Source organism: Homo sapiens, chromosome 17 (assembly GCF_000001405.40).
Source record: "Homo sapiens chromosome 17, GRCh38.p14 Primary Assembly".
Lineage (NCBI taxonomy): Eukaryota > Metazoa > Chordata > Mammalia > Primates > Hominidae > Homo > Homo sapiens.
In genome coordinates this window covers 40,307,364-40,325,313 of record NC_000017.11, presented here as the reverse complement: position 1 = coordinate 40,325,313, position 17,950 = coordinate 40,307,364, and the positions used below count along the sequence as shown (strand labels likewise).

The 17,950-nt window shown below is 56.1% G+C and overlaps 1 protein-coding gene and 1 long non-coding RNA gene across 10 annotated transcripts in view, besides 11 other annotated features; one reads left to right on the top strand and one right to left on the bottom strand.

Annotated features, from left to right (window-relative positions):
• RARA (retinoic acid receptor alpha) overlaps nt 1-16,134 on the bottom strand; it is a 48,464-nt gene extending 32,330 nt beyond the window's left edge. For 2 of the 7 annotated variants that reach the window (XM_011525095.2, NM_000964.4), the window contains exon 1: nt 16,028-16,134. The gene's annotated coding sequence lies outside the window, so the exon portion shown is untranslated. Of the gene's footprint in view, nt 1-713; nt 1,102-2,054; nt 4,852-6,865; nt 7,070-16,027 lie in introns of those variants that run through there. The other 5 variants (NM_001145301.3, NM_001145302.3, XM_047436507.1 and 2 more) reach the window with 3 other exon arrangements.
• Nucleotides 113-182: an enhancer, noted in NCBI's record as "active region_12142". NCBI's record gives its function as "activates an Ori minimal core promoter by ATAC-STARR-seq in GM12878 lymphoblastoid cells {active_cell/tissue: GM12878}" and the evidence as "EXISTENCE:reporter gene assay evidence [ECO:0000049][PMID:35858748]".
• Nucleotides 2,790-10,121, top strand: LOC105371934 (uncharacterized). Of its 3 annotated transcripts, NR_189653.1 has the most exons (4): nt 2,790-2,982; nt 6,563-6,765; nt 7,203-7,315; nt 7,519-10,121. It is a non-coding gene; the product is annotated as an uncharacterized LOC105371934 (long non-coding RNA). The 3 variants fall into 3 exon arrangements; NR_189652.1 differs by having other exon boundaries at nt 2,790-2,973; nt 6,563-10,121; NR_189654.1 differs by having other exon boundaries at nt 6,563-10,121.
• Nucleotides 3,679-4,263: an enhancer, noted in NCBI's record as "H3K4me1 hESC enhancer chr17:38477303-38477887 (GRCh37/hg19 assembly coordinates)". NCBI's record gives its function as "activates a minimal SCP1, AML or CMV promoter by ChIP-STARR-seq in primed H9 embryonic stem cells {active_cell/tissue: H9 hESC(primed)}" and the evidence as "EXISTENCE:reporter gene assay evidence [ECO:0000049][PMID:30033119]".
• Nucleotides 4,959-5,008: an enhancer, noted in NCBI's record as "active region_12141". NCBI's record gives its function as "activates an Ori minimal core promoter by ATAC-STARR-seq in GM12878 lymphoblastoid cells {active_cell/tissue: GM12878}" and the evidence as "EXISTENCE:reporter gene assay evidence [ECO:0000049][PMID:35858748]".
• Nucleotides 5,479-5,528: an enhancer, noted in NCBI's record as "active region_12140". NCBI's record gives its function as "activates an Ori minimal core promoter by ATAC-STARR-seq in GM12878 lymphoblastoid cells {active_cell/tissue: GM12878}" and the evidence as "EXISTENCE:reporter gene assay evidence [ECO:0000049][PMID:35858748]".
• Nucleotides 7,140-7,249: a silencer, noted in NCBI's record as "silent region_8484". NCBI's record gives its function as "represses an Ori minimal core promoter by ATAC-STARR-seq in GM12878 lymphoblastoid cells {active_cell/tissue: GM12878}" and the evidence as "EXISTENCE:reporter gene assay evidence [ECO:0000049][PMID:35858748]".
• Nucleotides 7,615-7,824: a silencer, noted in NCBI's record as "fragment chr17:38473742-38473951 (GRCh37/hg19 assembly coordinates)". NCBI's record gives its function as "represses an EF-1alpha promoter that drives an FKBP-Casp9 reporter gene in an ReSE screen in K562 erythroleukemia cells {active_cell/tissue: K562}" and the evidence as "EXISTENCE:reporter gene assay evidence [ECO:0000049][PMID:32094911]".
• Nucleotides 12,848-13,348: an enhancer, noted in NCBI's record as "H3K4me1 hESC enhancer chr17:38468218-38468718 (GRCh37/hg19 assembly coordinates)". NCBI's record gives its function as "activates a minimal SCP1, AML or CMV promoter by ChIP-STARR-seq in naive H9 embryonic stem cells {active_cell/tissue: H9 hESC(naive)}" and the evidence as "EXISTENCE:reporter gene assay evidence [ECO:0000049][PMID:30033119]".
• Nucleotides 14,938-15,821: an enhancer, noted in NCBI's record as "H3K4me1 hESC enhancer chr17:38465745-38466628 (GRCh37/hg19 assembly coordinates)". NCBI's record gives its function as "activates a minimal SCP1, AML or CMV promoter by ChIP-STARR-seq in primed H9 embryonic stem cells {active_cell/tissue: H9 hESC(primed)}" and the evidence as "EXISTENCE:reporter gene assay evidence [ECO:0000049][PMID:30033119]".
• Nucleotides 15,822-16,707: an enhancer, noted in NCBI's record as "H3K4me1 hESC enhancer chr17:38464859-38465744 (GRCh37/hg19 assembly coordinates)". NCBI's record gives its function as "activates a minimal SCP1, AML or CMV promoter by ChIP-STARR-seq in primed H9 embryonic stem cells {active_cell/tissue: H9 hESC(primed)}" and the evidence as "EXISTENCE:reporter gene assay evidence [ECO:0000049][PMID:30033119]".
• Nucleotides 16,133-16,262: an enhancer, noted in NCBI's record as "active region_12139". NCBI's record gives its function as "activates an Ori minimal core promoter by ATAC-STARR-seq in GM12878 lymphoblastoid cells {active_cell/tissue: GM12878}" and the evidence as "EXISTENCE:reporter gene assay evidence [ECO:0000049][PMID:35858748]".
• Nucleotides 16,273-16,442: an enhancer, noted in NCBI's record as "active region_12138". NCBI's record gives its function as "activates an Ori minimal core promoter by ATAC-STARR-seq in GM12878 lymphoblastoid cells {active_cell/tissue: GM12878}" and the evidence as "EXISTENCE:reporter gene assay evidence [ECO:0000049][PMID:35858748]".

The following is a 17,950-nucleotide window of genomic DNA, read 5'->3' as shown; positions in this document are numbered from 1 at the left end:
TAGCCCAGCCTCTTTTTATTTATTTATTTATTTATTTATTTATTTATTTATTTATTTATTTTTGAGATGGAGTCTCACCCTGTCACACATGCTGGAGTGCAATGGCGCAATCTCGGCTCACTGCAACCTCCGCCTCCCGGGTTCAAGCGATTCTCCTGCCTCATCCTCCCTAGTAGCTGGGGTTACAGGCACCTGCCACCACGCCCAGCTAATTTTTGTATTTTTAGTAGAGATGGGGTTTCACCATGTTCACCAGGCTGGTCTCAAACTCCTGACACGGTGATCTGCCCGCCTCGGCCTCCCAAAGTGCTGGGATTACAGGCGTGAGCCACCACGCCCGGCCAGCCCAGCCTCATTTTAAAAGAGGCTTCCCTAGGAGGGCTGGAGAAGGATCACCTGAGGGTGGCTGGGATAGCTGGAGGGTGCCTCTTCCCCACCAACCCCACAGAACCCCAGGCCAGCCTTGCTAGAGCTAGGACTGGTTTGAAAATCTGCCCTAGTCAGTGCAGGCCATAAGCATGTCCTCTTGGGAGTTAGGGGAAGGAGGAAGCCTAGTGTCTCACTTCCGGGTGCTACCACTGCCCATTGCCTCAAGACACAGTGCCTTGTCCCAAAAGAATAGGTCCAATGTCTCCACAGCTTGTACTCCACTCAGCCCAGGGTTTTTCCCCAGCTACACAGAGCTGCAGGACCCCCACACGCCATAATCTCACCAGTGACTGGATACCAGGCAGAAAGGGTGACTGGACAATCCAAGCTCGGGGCAGTCCAGGTTCTAGGAGGAGGAAGTGGGGGTCTCTGCTGGTCAGGGCTGTGCTCCCAACTCCTCCATCCCCAGGGGCCATACCCCAGATCCCCCGGGGGACATGGTCAGGACCTCTGAAGCCCAGGGTGTCTGAGAGGTCCACGTAGAACCAGAACTGAAGCCTCCCTACTCCAAGCAACGAGTAGGTGAAAGGGCAGGGGGTAATTCAGGCCTCAAGAAGAGGGACCAACCCACAGGGAAGGAAAAAAAAAATGGGAAGAGGAAGAGATGAGCCTACTGAGGCCACAGCCAGACCACAGAAATGTGTGGACCATACGCAGGCAGCTCTGTTGGGTGAGGGACCAAAGGGGCACAGACAAAAGGGGACCCCCTAGCTTGGAAACCACCGACCTCACATCCAGCCTGGCACGGGGCTTTCCCCACCCTCACACCTTGGCAGCTGCCCCCTCACCACTACCTCCCCTCCATGCTACCAAGCAGGAAGCACAGCTCTCTCACAATGGGGGGACAGCTTACAGAGATACAGGCAGGGCCAGGGTGGGGAGATAGGCTGCAGCAGCCCTCACCCCTCCCCTCAGCTCAGCCCAACCCTGCGTATGCCATATTCTGAGTCCCAGGGCAAACTGCCAGCAGGACTAGATGGTACCAGCCCCCTCTCAGCATCCCACCCTGGGGACCCACGCTGCAGGGAATCCAGGAATACACCCCCCCACCAAGTCCTGCCTCAGGATATCCTTTTGGCTCTGACCCCAGACCAGGCCTGAGTCAGACTGTGCCCTGCCCCATACCCCCCCTCCGACCCATTGACCCCCCCCCAAGCAACTTCCTACTCCACACCCGCCTACTCAGTTGGGGCTAGAACTAGGGGGAATCTCTTCCCCTCACCATCCCCAGCTGAACAGGGAAGCCCACAGGTGGATAGGGATAATAGGTCACAGATCCCCATGGCCTTCCCCTTAGAGAAGAGCGCCTGCCAGACAAGGGAGAAGCGGGTGCAGGCTGTGTGTGCAGGGGAAGGCATAGTCTGCAGAGCCCCCACCTCCCCAGCCCCAAACACATGCAACCTAGGACCCTGCCCCACAGCCCCTTGACACTCCAGCCTGGAGTCCAGGAAGCCACAGAAACTCCCTGGGGAAGGTGGTTTCCATCAGAACACAGGATGGGAGCAGGCTCCAGAACTGTATATGAGGACAGATAGGGAGCACAGAGGTTCCCTGAATGGGCATCTCTATGAGCGAGAGGAACCCCGGCCAGAGGGGACAAGGGCTGCAAAATCAGTCAGACTCACAAAGTCACAGCCACGGTCAGGCACAGCCAGATGCGGTCACAGTCTCCCCAGCACTCAGTCTGAGTAGGTGGCAGTGACTCCTCCCCACAGACAGAAGTCTGGGGGGTCCTGGGGAATCTGGGGCATCAGAGACCACACACACTCAGCCTGAAAGGACCCCCTAGTCAAGTCCCCCAAGTACCCCCCCAGCCTGGTGGGGAGGGGTAGCTCCTTCCCCACAAGAACCAGGGGTAGTGCCCACGGCAGACATCACCATGGCAACCAACAACAAACATCCCAGGAACCACAGTGGGACAGGAAGTGACAGCCACGTGACAGGAAGACATTTTTTTTCTTAGTGTTGGGGGGGTGATGAAGATTGTTTGCACCCCCTGGGGAATCAGCTGTCCCCCAGGTTTCTCCTACCTGGAGCTGGAGGGAAGGGGGACCACTAGGAAGGGGGCCAACCCCTCCTTGATCTGCACAGTGGGTCACAGGACTGACAGGGCTCTCCCTCCCTGCCTGCCACTCATGGGTCCCCCCCTTAACCCCCCTCTTTTCCACTTCCTGCCGTGACTGGAGATCAGAGAACTCCCCACCGCAGCTTCCCCTTCTCAAGTCTCGATTCCTGGGCTGAAGGTTTCACTGTAGGGCGAGGGACAGAGGGAAGGAGGGCTGAGGACCTGCGGTAGGACCCAGGGGACAGAGGCTCCGGGGGGAGGGCCGGGATAAAGCCACTCCAAGGTAGGTGTGTACACACAGACACACAGCGAGTGGGTCACGGTGACACTGCCTGCGGGGTACAGTGACACATGGAGACTGCCTGACCTCAAGTAACTCTGTGGGGAGAGGGAACAGCCAGAGGACCCAGCCCCGGCGTGCCCCACTCTTGCCCTGTCCTGAGCCTCCAGGTTCATCTCCGGCATCTACTGGCCTCCAGGCAAGCAAGGTCCCAACTGTGCCTAGCCCCTGCCACCTCTCCCCTGCCACCTCTTCCCTGCCACTTCTCCCCTGCCTTTTGTGCTTGAGGAATCCCCCTCACTGCTCCAAGGTGCCCGCCCAGACGAGGGCACCTTGGCTGAAGGTGGGGGAATGGAACCTCCCTCCACCCCCCTCCCCTTCTCTGCAGATGTCCCAGACTATATTTAGCCCAAACCGGGCGGCCAGCCAGACCCAGACTCCCCACTGGCCCAGAGCTGAGCTCCCAGTTTTTAGGCAATTAAAACATTAACAGAGAACCACCCCCATCTACACACCCCCACACCCCTAGCCCTGCCAGGGCAGCACAGCTCTGAAAACTTGAAGGAGGGCAGCCCAGCTCTGCAGCCAGGGATGGGGGTGGGGGTCATCAGGCAGGACAGGGGCATCATCCATAAGATCAGGTTGACACTTGGAGTGGCGAAGGGGAAGTCTTCCCTTGTTCCGGCAGAAGGGAAAGGCATATCCAGTTGGGGGGGTGGAGTTGCCTAGCTGCAGAAATTACACCTGTCATTCTGCAGCCCCCTCCCTAGCAAGCTCCAGTTATAGGGCTGGGGTTGGCAACAGGTGCGGGCCAGCCTGGCAGCAGCCTAATCCCCCCACCGGCTCCCCAGGCTGACAGTGGTGCCTGGAGGTCCAGCAGGGGCCCTTTGGGGCAGGATGTTAAGTAGAAGGAGGTGTCACTGGCCAGAGGGATGGACAGCCCATGGCCTTTCCATAAGAGCTGGCCCCTGGCCCTCATGATGTGTGCTGGAGGGTCTAGGGAAGCCAGGGAAAATGTAGTTCCATAGCACCTATTTCATTTCCCCATGATGCCAGGTGGGCGGGCTAGAGTGTGGGAGGTCTGTCTGCCTGCCTCTTCCTCCTCCTCCTCCTCTCCAAATTCCAGGAACAGGCAAGGGAGGCTCCAGTTGTGGGGAGAGAGGGAAAGCAAGCAGGCGGTCCCAGCTAGGGGGGAGCGAGGGGAGGGCGGGACTGGAGCGGGAGGCAAGATCCAGACGAAGCAAGAGACACCCACACCCGAGACACCCACACCCGAGCCAGACTGGGGACAGACACACCAACGCTGACACATTCTCACACTAGGTCCCCACATGCCGCCCACCCTGCGGGGACACCAAGACACCCTCAGCCAATCCTGCCAATTCCCAGAATACTCCCTGGACACACACGGAGATCCAGGCCCTGCCCCCCACCGTGCATCCCCCCACAAACTGTGTGGGCTCCAGACAGCAGCCAGAGGGTGGAGAGGGGAGTAGAGGGAGGAAAGACAGCAGGCGTCAGAGAGAATGTTCAGCCAAAGCCCTGGGAGCCGGGGTATCAGTTGCCATACTCCTTTCCCAAAACCCAGTAAGTCAAGACAACACTGGTCATCTTGCCAGGGGCCCTGCCAGCTTCCCACACTCCCAAAACTACCGACACAAGATGGGTGTGGGTACTGAGCAAGCGGAGATTACCCCGCTTATTTGTCGCAGGGACAGGATTACCATCCCCAGATGCCTATCACCCCAGATCCCAGGCAGTGCTCCCAAATATTAATAGACCCCACAGAGGTCAAAAGAAACCACCCCTCCAGCCTAGCCTAAGTCCTGTCCTGCCCATGCTTCCAAGAGGACTGGAAACTGGGCATTGGGGTTTGTATTTTGGGACAGGCCCCACCGTCACATCACACGGTTCTGAGGACCATCCCACCTGAGACTGGAGTCTGAGCAAGGAGTGGCCTGGAAGAAAAGGTCCCAGAGGGCAGAGTCAGCTTCCAAGACTAAATGGTTTAGGGGAAGGGGCGCGCATTAGCTGGGGTCTGGGTGAATGTCCCCAAAACAGACCTGAGGGGCCACTCAGACAATGTCCTCTCCCCCATACTTAGATGGGGTGGCAGGAACCACGTCATGGCATGTGTGGGTGACTGTGCCCAGCGGGGGAGGCACATGGGTGATCAGGATGGGGCTGCCCACAGCTGGCTTCCTGCCAGGCTGCCTCAAGGTTGGGAGTAGGAAGGGGACTAAAAAGGTGTCCCAGGGTGGCAGCCGGTGCATTTAGGGTCAGACTGAAGGGATAGAGATTTAGGGGCTATAGGAAGGAGGATGTGGCCAGGATTAAGCCATTTCAACCCCAGGATCTTCTCAGAACTGCCACTGCATCTGTGCCACCGTCGCCAGTCTGATGGTGAAACCCCTGCAGTGACACCTCATATACACTCAATCACACCCTCAAAATCCTTGCAAATCCAAGATCCTCAGCTCCCAAGAGGCTACTCCAGTCTGACCCTCCTGACCTCTCTTTCAGGACACCACATGGTCCAGACTCCCAGGCAGTACTGATGTCCCAGCTCCCTCCAGCATACCATTTTTCACAGCCACAAACTCCCTGACTCCACAACCACCCCCTCTTATTCCTCCAGGAAGAAGCATCATACAACCAACTCCAAATATTTTTTCTCTTGTTCCTTCCCCCAGCCTCATCTCTACCCGCCCCCCCCGGCCCCCTCCAGGGGAAGCCCCAAGGCTCCAAGCCACCCCCACTCCAACCCGGGGCTTCCCCGGCACAGCCTCTTCATGGAGCCCTGTAGGAGAGTTTGGGGCCTGAGGTCCAATTTCCTAGCAAGACCTGGAAGGTCCTTACAGAACCACTTCCCCCAAAACAATCTTGCCCTATGAAGACTGCAACCAGAGAAGGGTATAAGAGACATCCCAGAATGTCTTGGCCAGGAAACTGAGGAGGGGGAGTGTCAGGGGCAGAAGTGATCCTTGGGGTAAGCAGCAGGGGGTGGGGGGGTCGGGGGGTGTTCTCAGAAACAATCCTTTCCAAGAATATCTACATACACATATGTGCACACAGCCATCAGACAGAAGGCAACCTGGTTACAGAAGACAGAGCCAGAGGGGGCAGGAGGTACCCTTCCAGGCCATCACACTGGGCATCTGATCCAAGACAGGATGGAGGGTGCAGAAACATCTCCAAGGCTGGGGAGCTCTTCTGTCTGGTTTCCGGGTTAGTTGGTCCCCATCCCCACCCTAGCACACTGGAGGCCTGTCTTTCCTTTCGCAAGGAGCAGCCTGACAATAGGCCAGTGCCCAGAGAGGAGATGAGGGGACATAGCCAAGCTCATTTCCCAGCCGTCCCCCCAACCCCACAACAGGCTCACACACACATCTGGCCAGCAGCTTCCAAGCCTCGTGGGTGGCACCAGGTCCCAGACACCCTCAGCAGAGCAAAGTCGACAAGTCAGTCTATTCCGTCTTCCCCTCACCCCAAAAAGTTCCCACACCCCATGGTGGCACAAGACCCAGGAACACCCCTACACACATACTGCATTGGCTCCCGCACCCAATTCTGACGGTTCCCCTCACTCCACGGGGGACACCAGCTGAACCGGCCCGGCCCCCGGCCGGCTCCCTCTGGTGGGAGTGGGCCCCCTGGCTGATTCTCCCCAAACCACAGGGCAGCTCAGATAACAGGAGGGAAAAAGAGAGGGGGCTAGTCCGTTGAGCATCCGATCTCTCCCCAAACAGGTTTGAATTCAAGTCTTTTTGTTTTGCTTATCATTAAAGAGAAAAAGAACAGAAGTTCCCAGCGGCGGTTCTGCAACAGCTCGAGCGCGGGGGACACGCGCAGCAGACGGCCCCAGACGCCTCAAGGCTGCGCGCGAAGACACGGCGCAGGCAGACTCACAGACGGGGCTCCCCCACCCTGGACACGGCGGCAGCGAGTTGGGAAGCCCAGGAAACCCCGGGTTCCCGTCGGAAGCCTCCCGGTACCCAGTCCCCTCCCGCAGCACCAATCTGGGGCAGGACATGGGGCCCCGACGCCTGCGGGAACCAGGGGCTCCCCAAAATCCCCAGGGGAGGAATTACCTCGCAGCGGGGGAAGCAACCCGTTCGGGGTGCCAGCGAGCACAGCGTCTGCCCTAACCCGGCGCCCTGGTGCTGCTCGGCATCAGGGTGCGGGGTCCCGGGAGAGGAGCCGTCCAGGGGGCCGCGGCTCAGGGGCGCGGGGCGATGGCAGCGGCCATAGCGAGTCACGTGCGGAGGCTGAAACTTTACCCGGAGCCCCAGACTGAAGGGGCGGAGGGTACGGAGCAGAGGTAGGGGGAGGCCCTGTCCCTCAGGCCCGCCCCTGCCCGCCCACCGACCAATCACCAGTCAGGGGCGGATCTACAGGCTCACGCCCGCCCCCGCCTCTCCTTAATAGACCTCGGGAAGGGCGAGTCTTAAAGGAGCCACTCCTAGTTGAAGACTGGACCGTGGGAATCCGGGAGAATCCCTCCCTCAGACCCAGAACCGAAGATTCAGAGCAAGAACGGGGTGAGGTTCTGCGGAAAGAATGAAAATAGCGCTCGGTGGAGAAGACCGCAGCGTGTGGTATCCTACACTCCTTTCCCCCCAACCACACACACACCCACACCTAAATCTGAGAAGTGAGGCGGCGGCGTAATATGGAAGTGAGTGCGGTGACTCCTGCCCTAGCTGTCAAGCCCCTGAATCCTATAATTATAATCCTCTTCTAGGGACCAGCTGGAACTGAGAGCTGTGTGACCTTGACCAAGTCACTTCCCTTCCCTGGATCTTAATTATCTCAGCTGCAAGAAAAAGAAAAAAAAAAAAAGAGTCCAGGAGTAGATCTCCCGCAAGTATATCTCTTCTTTCCCCAAACACCTCTGCAGCTCCAGTGGGTCCTAGGAACCCTGGCTCAACCCAACCCTCCCAGCCCCCTTAAAGTACTCTTCTCCTCAAAGGGCAAGACTTTTGGATCTTCCAGTAGGGGCGCCCAGGAGCACCCCTCCGTGCTCAAAGACTCACACTCAAGCTTCTCTCTCCCGAACAAGTCTGGAGAAGCCAGGAAAGCTCTTTTTCATGTTCCAGCTGGACAGGATCTGAATCACCCTCCATCTGAGAGACCCCCAGTCCCCAATACAGTCATGACCCCCCTCCCAGCCTGCAGCTCTGTTTGGGAGGATCCTGTCCCCATCGCTAGCAGTCCACTGGCGGGCTTAGGGGGAAGCAGAATTGCTTAGAATACTCCCCTCTCGCCCTGTTCCCAGGCAGAGAAGTGGCCACAAGTGCCCCCACAGAACTTCCCACTGGAAGGGGAAGTGCTGCACTCCCAGGCCTCCAGCCCAGTGAGGAGACTCTCAGCCTGACCCGGTGGCAGAGCTCTCAAACCCACTGGTCCGACGGACCCCGCTTTACAAACAAGGAAAGAGAGTCCAAGAGCAGGCACTGGGTTTTGTGCACAGTCGCACCGGTTGCAGAGCCGGGTCTAGAATTGAAGTATCTGATTGTCCCTGGCTTTAGCCCAAGAGCCATGGTAAGGTAGGACAAGCCAGGATGGCGGGACCCTTTGCCCTGAGGGCCGGCGCACGGGAAACTGCCCCAGCAGTGCTGGGCCGCGCTTCCCCAGGCCCCTTCCCGCCTGCTGGGCCGGAGCTGTCTCCCGCTCCCGTCTGGATTTCCGTCCGCCGGTGCGAACCTCCCGCCCAGCCCCTCCCGCCCTGTCCTGTCCAGATTCATCCGCAAACATGCGCTCAGCCGGCAGGAATGCGCCAATGGCTCCCAGATGTGGACGCCACCGCTTAACCCCTTACCCCCCAGCCGCGCTCCCCCAAGGGCCTTCCAGCCTGAGCCCCGCCAACAGCAGGGAGCTCTGCCCAGGTGAGAACCAGCCCAGGACTGGAGTCAGCGCCAGCCCGCCCCTAGTGCCCACGGACACCTCCCAACCTAGATCCTACCTGTCTTCCTTCCTTGAGGCTGGAGGGGAAGGCTCATGGACACAAGAATGCAAGCATGCATGCACACAGCTACACTGCCTCCCAAGTGGGACGACCTTCAGGTACACCTGCCATCATAGGGTCAGGCATCCTGGTACAAATGCATTTCCACGTGCACATTCAGGGCAGGGATGTGTACATCCCCGACGCATGTATGCACATCCACGCATGAACAAGTACATCCAAACACATTTGTGCACAGACAAGGGCATGAAGCAGAGGGTGGGGCACACTTCTGCACAGACACAGAAGTAGCCCCATGTGTGGATGAGGGAAGAAATTCATACACACAAACCCACCCCCCGCAGGGGTCAGACACTCAAACAAGACCAGCACCCGTGTGTACAAACACAAAGCATGCACATCTTTGGGGCATTTCCTTCCTGTCCAGGGAAACCAGTACCACCTGTCCAAGGCCCAGCCCTACCCAAGCTTGACTGCAGAAGGCAGGAGAGGTCCCCAGGTGGGGGACCAGGAGTCTTCAATCTGCAGCAGCAGTTGAACTCCAGCTATGCTGGGCTCATAACAGGGCTTCCACCACCCCCTCCCACCAGGGACTCTGATGCAGGAGGAGAGAAGGGTACCCAGGGAGCAGCAGGAAACTAGCAGAGAGAGAAAAGCCACAGGCTCGGGGCGCCTCACTCTAAGAAGGACACTCCTTGGGGCCTACTGTTTCCCTGCACACAGGAGATAGGCTGGGGGAGGAGTCTGAGCCCCATCCCTCTTCAAACTAGAGGAAGTGAAGGAAGAGAGTCTGGACAGGTACCAGGGCCAGTGGCAGTTCTCAGTAGTCAAAAGAGATAAAATATAGCTCTGAGACACCCTAGGAGGGCCCACACTTCTAGTACAACAAGGCTGTCTTCTCACAGCCTGTGGAAACTCCTGAAGAACAGCATTAAGTGATACTCCGAAGAGATGATGAGAAGCAATTGGCCCTCCAAGACCATGGTGCGGGAGTTTGTTGGAACCAGCTCCAGCTGACTCCTCTTCCCCTCCCAAGCCTCCTAGCTCATCCCAAAAGGAGCTCCTCCCACAAGTACCTTAATAGTCCCACTCCATTTGATTCTCACAGTCCTGAAGGGGCAGGCTCCTGTTGCCATTGTAGAGATGAAAAAACTGAGGCTCAAAAAGAAAATTGCCTTCCTCAACGTCATACAGCTTGTCAATGGCAGGGCTGGGATTCAAACCCAGGCCAGGTATGGTGGCTCACACCTTTAATTCTAGCACTTTGGGAGGCCAAGATGGGACGCCAGGAGTTGCTTGACTCCAGGAGTTCAAGACCTGTCTGGGCAACATAGCAAGACCCTGTGTCTTTTTTGTTAAAATAAATAAATATATACGTGTGTGTGTGTGTGTGTGTGTGTATATATATATATATATATATATATATATATATATATATACACATATAAGCATATATATATATATATATATACATATAACCCAATCAATGTTCCCTCCTCAACTCTTTCCTCCCCTACTTACTCCAAATCAAACATGTATGACTCCACTCTGTGCCCTGCTACCTTTTCCTTCACCCCTTAGTGGATCACAAGGGAGAAGCGCCATCCTTGCCTGGCTCTGCAGGTTTATGGGTGGGGCCAGGACATGCCAGAGAGAGATCAGAGAAGACACTGGGGGCTGCACACATAGCCCTCCACCCCCACCACAAGCCTGGTGCCCACCTGCCTAGCAGGCATGGCTGGGTGACTCAGCTGCATCCGGGGGAGATGCCAGGGCAGTGACTCACCTACCGAGAAGAGCTGAGCCTGGCACCTTGCCAGCCCCAGGACAGAAGTGACTTAGTCACCACCAAGACTGTGATGCCCAGCAGGCACAGCCCAAGGATTGCAGACAGGGGCAGACTGTCCCTCCATGGTTACATGCGCCCCCTGGCAAAGAATGGGCCTCAGCATTCTGGGGCCAGCAATGTCTGTGCCAGCCCCTGCCCCCTCACCACTGCCCACCCCCACCACACCAGGCCCCGCTCCAGTGCCAACAAGTTTTGTGAGACCCCTGTGCTGCCCTGCCCCCACTGCAGCCTGCCCATCACTCACCACCCACTCTCCCACCTGCCCCACCTCCTCCTGCCACCCAAGTTGTACCCAGGCTGTGAGTCTCCTTTAACATGTCCTGGCAGCACTCCCTGCCCCCACAGCCCCTCTCACCCTCTCCCCTCATATACACATGCACTCAAACACACTTCTGCCAGCCTTGCTTCTGCCAGCAGCTGCTGAAGTTGTTGAGCAGGAGGGAAATTGGGAGGGTGGGGTGCAGGGATTGAGTTACCAGAGCTGATGGGGTGGGCTGTCACCCAATCCCTTCCCCAGCTCGTCCCCACCCCCACCCCACCCCTCCACCCGCCATATCCCTCACCCACCTGCCTCCCTCCCTACCTCTGGCTGGCAGCCTACTGCCCTTTAAGCCCGTCCACCCAAGCTAGAAAATAAATGTTCAAGAGTATTTGTCATGTTAAGACCAGCCTAGTATATGAGAGAGAATGAGACAGAGACCAACAGAAAGAATAATTCCTGTGCTCAGTGCTCTGGCTACAACCACTAAATATGTGTATGTTGAGCCAGAAGGGGACTGAGCAACTCCGCAAGTCCCAGAAGAGTTGGTGGGGCCCAAGGAGAGTTGACAGGCTAAACAGCCTCAATCCATTTGCACTATTGATTTCTCACACACTGCAGTAGGCTTGATGGGGGGTATGATAAATCAGCCCCCAAGAGACACAGAAACTGCGTAGAGAGAAGGGGAGGGGCTTCTGAACCACAATTGGTGGTGCACCATGACTTGCTTGGTGCGTTGGGGGTGGGCAGCAGAGGAATAGGAGATGTTGAGTGGCATGAGGCAGGGTAGGGGAGAGGGTGTTGGATTAAGGCCTGTCTGGAACACCTCCTTCCAGGTGGGTCTGAACTAATTTGAAGGAAGAAGGTGGGAGACAGATGCACCACGTGTGGCTACACAGGCAGGGCCTTGAACAACCCCAGGGGGTGCCATTCACATCATAGTCTATGGAATGGTTCCCCCTGCAGCTGTGCAGCATGGTGGCCTGTGGGGAGAGCCTGAGGCAGAAGACAGAAAGCAGACTGAATTCTGAGGGACCACAATTCTCCATTGAGTTTTCTCCCCATACACACCCCAACTTGCCCCAACTTTCCCTGCCTCCAGGCCTCAGAGGGGGCCTCCTTCTGACTAGCGATCAGAAGCCAGTAGTAATCTCCCCACTCCTCAGCCCTGCTCCCTTCTTTTGTTGGGGAGATGGGCAAACAACCACCATGACCCACAGGTCCTGGGCAGGGCAGGAGGAGGGCTCACAAAGGGCTCTGGGGAGTCTGGACGTCCCTTCTGTAAGGTGTCTCCTAGCCCCACAGCTCACCAGCCTGTGAGCCTGCTGGAGCCTGTCCAGCAGCTCCATTCACACCAGTGGCCACAGGCCACCCAAACAAACCCAACTCTGACCTCCTTCTAGCCTGGACACAGACTCTTTCCACATGGAGACTTATAAACAAACCAAGCTGGGATTTTCAGAGACCCTGCACAAAAAAGCAGATGGGAAAATGGACCAGGTGTGCCTGGCTCGTGGTCCTCCTTGCTGCAGTAGGGAAGGGAAGCACACTGAGCTGTGGTGAGGAACCATGACAACAGAAAAATGGTGCAAAGGGAGGGCCTGGGTTCAGGTCTCAACACAGCCAATGACTGATTGAGTGTTCTCTCTAGGCCTCAGTTTCCTTCTCTGCAAGGGGAAGGGATTGCCTAGGTAGCCTCTAAAACCCCTTCCAGCTCTGAGTCCAGCTGGATAAAGAAAACCCTGTAGGGTGCCAGGACTCTTCCACCCAGTCCAGCCCGGCCCATCTACCTGGGTCATGCCCCTCTGGGTAAGGTCCTGCCCCTGCTCCCCATGCCTCCTTGCTGTCTTCTGCCCCTCTGGCCCTTCCTCACTCCTCTGCCTGCCTGCTTACCCTCACCTTGGCCAGCCCCTCTGCCTGCCCCGTGCTTTTCTGCACGTCCCTCCTGCCAGGGGACTGACCAACTAAAAATAGTCCCTGCAGCCTTTCTCGCCCACAGCTGCCCAAAGAGCAGGAAATGAGGGGGGCAGGGAGGCCCATGCCCTGCCTTACCCCCACTAACTCCCAGGTCAGAATCATGTCCAGCACTCCAGCCTGGGGCTAGCGCCAACTTGGCCATCCTGGGGGCATCCCACACCCCTTTCCTAGGGGGAGGCCTGCCCATAAGTGCCTGCAATCACAGAGCTGCCCCTACCCTGCGGGAGGAGGAGAAAGGAGGCAAGCGGTCTAGAGGGAAACCTTCCCAATTTCTGACAAATCAGTGCCAACCACATTGTGGGCACCCAAAGGGCAGGGCCTGGCTCCACTGACTGGTCTTTTGAGGGCAGAAGGAATTGGCTTGGGGAAGTTTGTGACAGTCTCCTTCATCCTGGCCCAACTGGAGGGAAGACAAAATAGTGCCCCAGCCTCAATTATGTTAGTCCCTTGCTCCCCAAAACCAGGGATTTCACTAGCCACCTGCAGATATCATGGGGAAAAAAACTAAAAAATGAGAGCAGGAGATGTAGGCTTCTGTAAAGAGAGAAGCCTGGAGGCAAGAATAGGCCATGCCTGCCAGGCTGGGCATGTGCTGCCCCCAAGCTGAGTCAGAGGCTAGGAGGGAGAAGCTGGGGTGCTACAGTGCCAGAGGCTACTGTGCCCCCACCCCTGTCCCACCTGGGATTCCTGACACCTCCCAGCCCTAGGGGAAGGCCCTCCCCACAAAGGAGGAAGGAAACCAGCTAAGCGACTCTCTGGAGCCCTGCAGGGGAGCCCTGCACCACAGGCAGGGAAACCCAGGAGTCCTGGCGCCCAGCCCAGAGACAGTGAAATATCTTGGAGGGGAGGAAACAGCCCAGATTGAGGCAGACATGTGGCACCCCCAGAAGCTCCCAGATGTGACCTACTGGCCAAAGGGGCTAGATGAGGCAAAGTGAAACATTTCTGAACAAGAAGAGAGAAGAAAGTGGGGCTATGGGAATGGGGTGGCGGGGGTCAGCCTGGCTCATCGCTGTCCTTTCCTCCTTGTCAGAGTCAGTGACACTGACATTAAGGTCATCGAATATCAACCAGGTCCTGAGGACCTTGGTGTGTTTCCTCCTCTCCTAGTCTCCAGACCCCAGCCTGTTCATTCCTGAGCTTCCTCTGGCACCCCTTCCTTGGGGCCAAGCCAAGTAAGAAATCAGCAGGCCCAAGGTGGTGCTTGGGAGGCCGGGGCAGTGCCAGGGGCAGTCCTCATACCATCCTCCCACTGGCTTCCCTCCTGCCTGCTCTTAGCCGCCACACATATCTCAGCTGTCGAATCCGATTAGGGCTCCTGCCCAGTGAGCCAGACAAGGAGGCCACTGGGCAGGGGAGAGAGAGACAAGGACGCCAAGCAGGGATGGCAGAAGGAAGGTGGAGACATGGCTCAGGGGAGCAAGTATGGGGCCCCAGAGGAAGAAATGCCTGGTGGAGAGATCTGTACTCTGTGACCACAGGTGCTCTGGTAACAGCTACAACCTGCATTAGGGGAATTCTGCAGTAACCGGGGCAATAGCCCTGCCTAGTTCCTCCATCCCCCAGATGGGCAAAGGATGGGGGAAGAAAACTAAAGGCGGAGAGATTGACCTAGATTTAGGAAGAGGATTCCATCCTAGATTCCCCCAGCCATTACTACCGTTTGCAGTGAGCTTTACGATACATTGTCTCTGTGGTTTTAGTGGCAATGTCCCTGCTTGCTACTGATAGCCATTTTTACAAATGGAGAAACTAAGGCTTAGCAAAGGGGAAGACCTATATAAACACATATAGTTAAGTAACCAGTCTAAGTCTCCAGTTCAGGCCTCTGATTCCTAGTTCACTGCTCACAGTCAGAATCTCTACTTTCCTTGTTGGATCAAGACCAGAACGAAGTCTGAAGCCAATTCATTATCCACCCTGTCCTCTAAAACCAACCTTTAGGGGACCCGGGGAGCCATGGAAGAATGCAGAGCACACCCCACACCTAGACAGAGCTACCAGATGGGGACATGCCACCCATTCCTATCATACATTGATTGCTAGAGGAGTTCCCTCAGTGTGACCAGTCTCTTCTATCACCCCCCTCCCCAGTCTACTACCCCCAGAAGCAAGACACACACTCACACATGGTAAGTCAGACAAGGTGTACACCCTTCCTGTAAACCCACCAAACCAGAATGACACGCCCTAGATCTTCAGAGAGCAGGGCCTGTCTGCCCACCACAGGAGAGAAAAATAAGCCACTGTAAACAGTAGGTGCCATCTAGCCCTCTCCCAGAGAGCCTGTAGCGGGGCAGAAGCTTGGGGACCTTGTAGCTCTAGAGAAACACCAGGAGCCTGAGATTCTGAAAGCCAAGAAGCTCAGGGAGCTGGCAAGGCTGGGTGACCTCCTCAATCTGGTCCACACCCCCTTCCCTAGCCATCTGGACTGAGCCTGTTCTGGCCTGGGCCACACTCTGGTATCCCTCCCCTTCAATGCATGCAGCCACCTCTATCCAAAGCTTCTAGATCTTACAACCACATTGTCCCTACACACACACACACACAGGTGGGGTCGGGGGGCTTCTGCAGCAGGTGTTGAAATGTTGACATGGATGGGGGCTCTAAGCTGAAAGAACTTTCCTAGAGGAAAAGCTCACCAAAATGCTCACAACCTCCACTACCCTCTAGCAAAGCCTTTAGCCACCCAAGTGTGAGATGAACCTGGAAGGGGACATTAGTTCCCCTACAAGGTGTGTAGGGAGTAGGGGCAAAGTCCTGAGCTCTTTGGGTGAGGAAGCAAGAAAGAAATCCCTTGGGAAAGCTCAGGTCCCTCTCTGGCTCTCTCCTCTCTCTGTTACCTCAGCACTTGCCAATTCTCCAGTCTAGGTGAGGTGGGGGAAGGGGTATTAGGCAATACCGCAAAGGAGGGTGCAAGGGCGTGGGGCCTGGGCAGACCTTCCCCCTACTCCCCACTCTTATCTAGAGAACGGGAACTGCCTCAGGAGAAATGCAGGAAGGGTGCTGGAGGGTGCAGAGGGCTCTGAGCTTTCAGACACCCCACTGTTCCCAGGCTCCCACCTCCCAGGACTACAGTGAGCGACGGGAGAGGAGGGATGGGGAAAGCCAGAACTGGCGAGAAGGAAATGGCTAGATCAGAAGCAGAGGCCGGGGTCAAAGGCGGCCAAAGAATTGGGAAGGGGTGTGCATGGTCCTACCTGCTCAGGTGTGTGCTGGCAGGGGGCCGATGGGGTTCCCAGGAGAACCGGGGAAGCCCTCTCAGCTCGATTCAGGATTCCCCCCTGCTTCTGGGTTAGGCTGCTGCAAGAGGCACGGGTTCCCGTTGGGTCCTAAAGCCCACTCGCCAACTAGAAGGCTCTCCCCGCCCTCTTCCACCAGCCAGCCCCGACTGGGTCAGCGGGCGCAGAGCGAAGGACTGATGGGGGAGAAGTAACCCACTGGAAGAAAGATGGGCGTCTGGTCATCGGCTGGGGACAGGAACAGTTCCCTGTCTCAAATACACAGCATATGGATAACTCGAGGATAGGATGACCTGAAACAGGAGAAAATAGACATTTCTTCCTGCCTGCCCTGAGCAGATGGATTTAGGTTTTGGTGCTGGAGGTGGGGTTAAGATCTCTTTCCCTGCCACTCCTGCTAAGGCATTCAGCTAGAGATTTTGGAAAGGGAGCATTCATTTTGGTTGGGCGCTCACTTCTGTCCTCTTCCTCATGGACTGCAGGAGTCCCTTCATCCCTCCCAATTATTCCCAAGGACCTAGGAGGCCATAGAGGGTGAAAAAAGATTTTCAGCATGTAAAAAGTGCAGGCTCACTTAGATGGCAGCTGGAAACAGGGGAAACATGTAGGACCAATGTATGTGTATCTGGGAATGTGTGGGGTCTGCAAATACACATATATAGGCAAGAGTATAAACAGGTGGGGTTAGGGAAGGAGAAAAAAACAAAAAAGAACTTTGGGTTACACCTATTACTGGAAATGGTAATTGTCAGTGGAAGAACAGGACGTAGAACCTAGAGGTCAACTAGTGCCCCTACCCAGCCCTCAGTAATGTCCCGAATCTTTATGACCAGAATAAACAAGTTAAAGAGAGAATATTTTCCTAGATACCATTTAGGATAAATATAGGGGCAGAGGGACCTCAATACAACAGATCAACTTCAAGGTCACTGATTCAGTTTAGTATAGCCAGTCTTCTCAGTAGCTCAAAAGGGAGAATTCAGGTTTGGTGGGCTAGATGGGCAAGAGAAAGCTGGATAAGAATTCTGAAGTTGTGGATTGAGAACATTTTGCAAGGAGAGTTGCACATATCTCTAGCAGCAGAGCAGGGAAAACGTCATGAGGGGAAGGGCCAGAGGAAGTCAGCGACAGACTTGAGGGGAGAGGGCATGGCCTCTCCCTAGAAGGGGAGAAGACACCAGCAATGCCTCCACCTCTGTCTTGCAGGAAGAACTGAGTAAAGGAGCTGGACTAAGGATGGAAGGCCCCAGGGTGGAGTCCATGGGGTGAGTTTAGGTCAAACCTTTCACCCTAATGTGCCTCAGTTCTCTCCCAGCTGTTAAACAGGGCTCTTCGTTCTTCCCAGGCAGTTAATGAGTGTTTACAAAAGGGTTTGGAGATCCTCAGATCTCAGCTGGGCCACCACTACAGTTATAAAGTTCAATAAGAGCTGAGTGTTATTTGGGGAGGAGAGGAGTAGGGGAAGGAAACAGATACTCTCTTATAAACTAAGGATAAAACTAAGCTCAGAGAGAAGCACAAGCCTAGCTGCCACAGGATATCCTTGTGCCCATGGATGGAGGTCACCCCACCCCCCCATCAACCACCACCAAAGGCTGGCCTCCAGCTAGCTGTAGGCAGAACCCAGACTAGCAGCTGGTCTTCATTAACTCCAGCTTTTTCACCCCCCACTGTGAACCCACAGCTTCTACAGGCCTAGGCTAGAGGGGGCTGCCCTAGCCCGACCTTGCAGCTGACACTGGGGTGGGGGGCACCGCACCAAAGGCCAAGTTACCAGCTGAAAAGAAAGTTGAAGCAAGAGTCCTTTTTCCCATTGGGAGCAAGAAGAAAGCAGTGTGGGGGTGAGAGGGTGGAGGTGGGGGAATTTAGGGCAAACAGCAG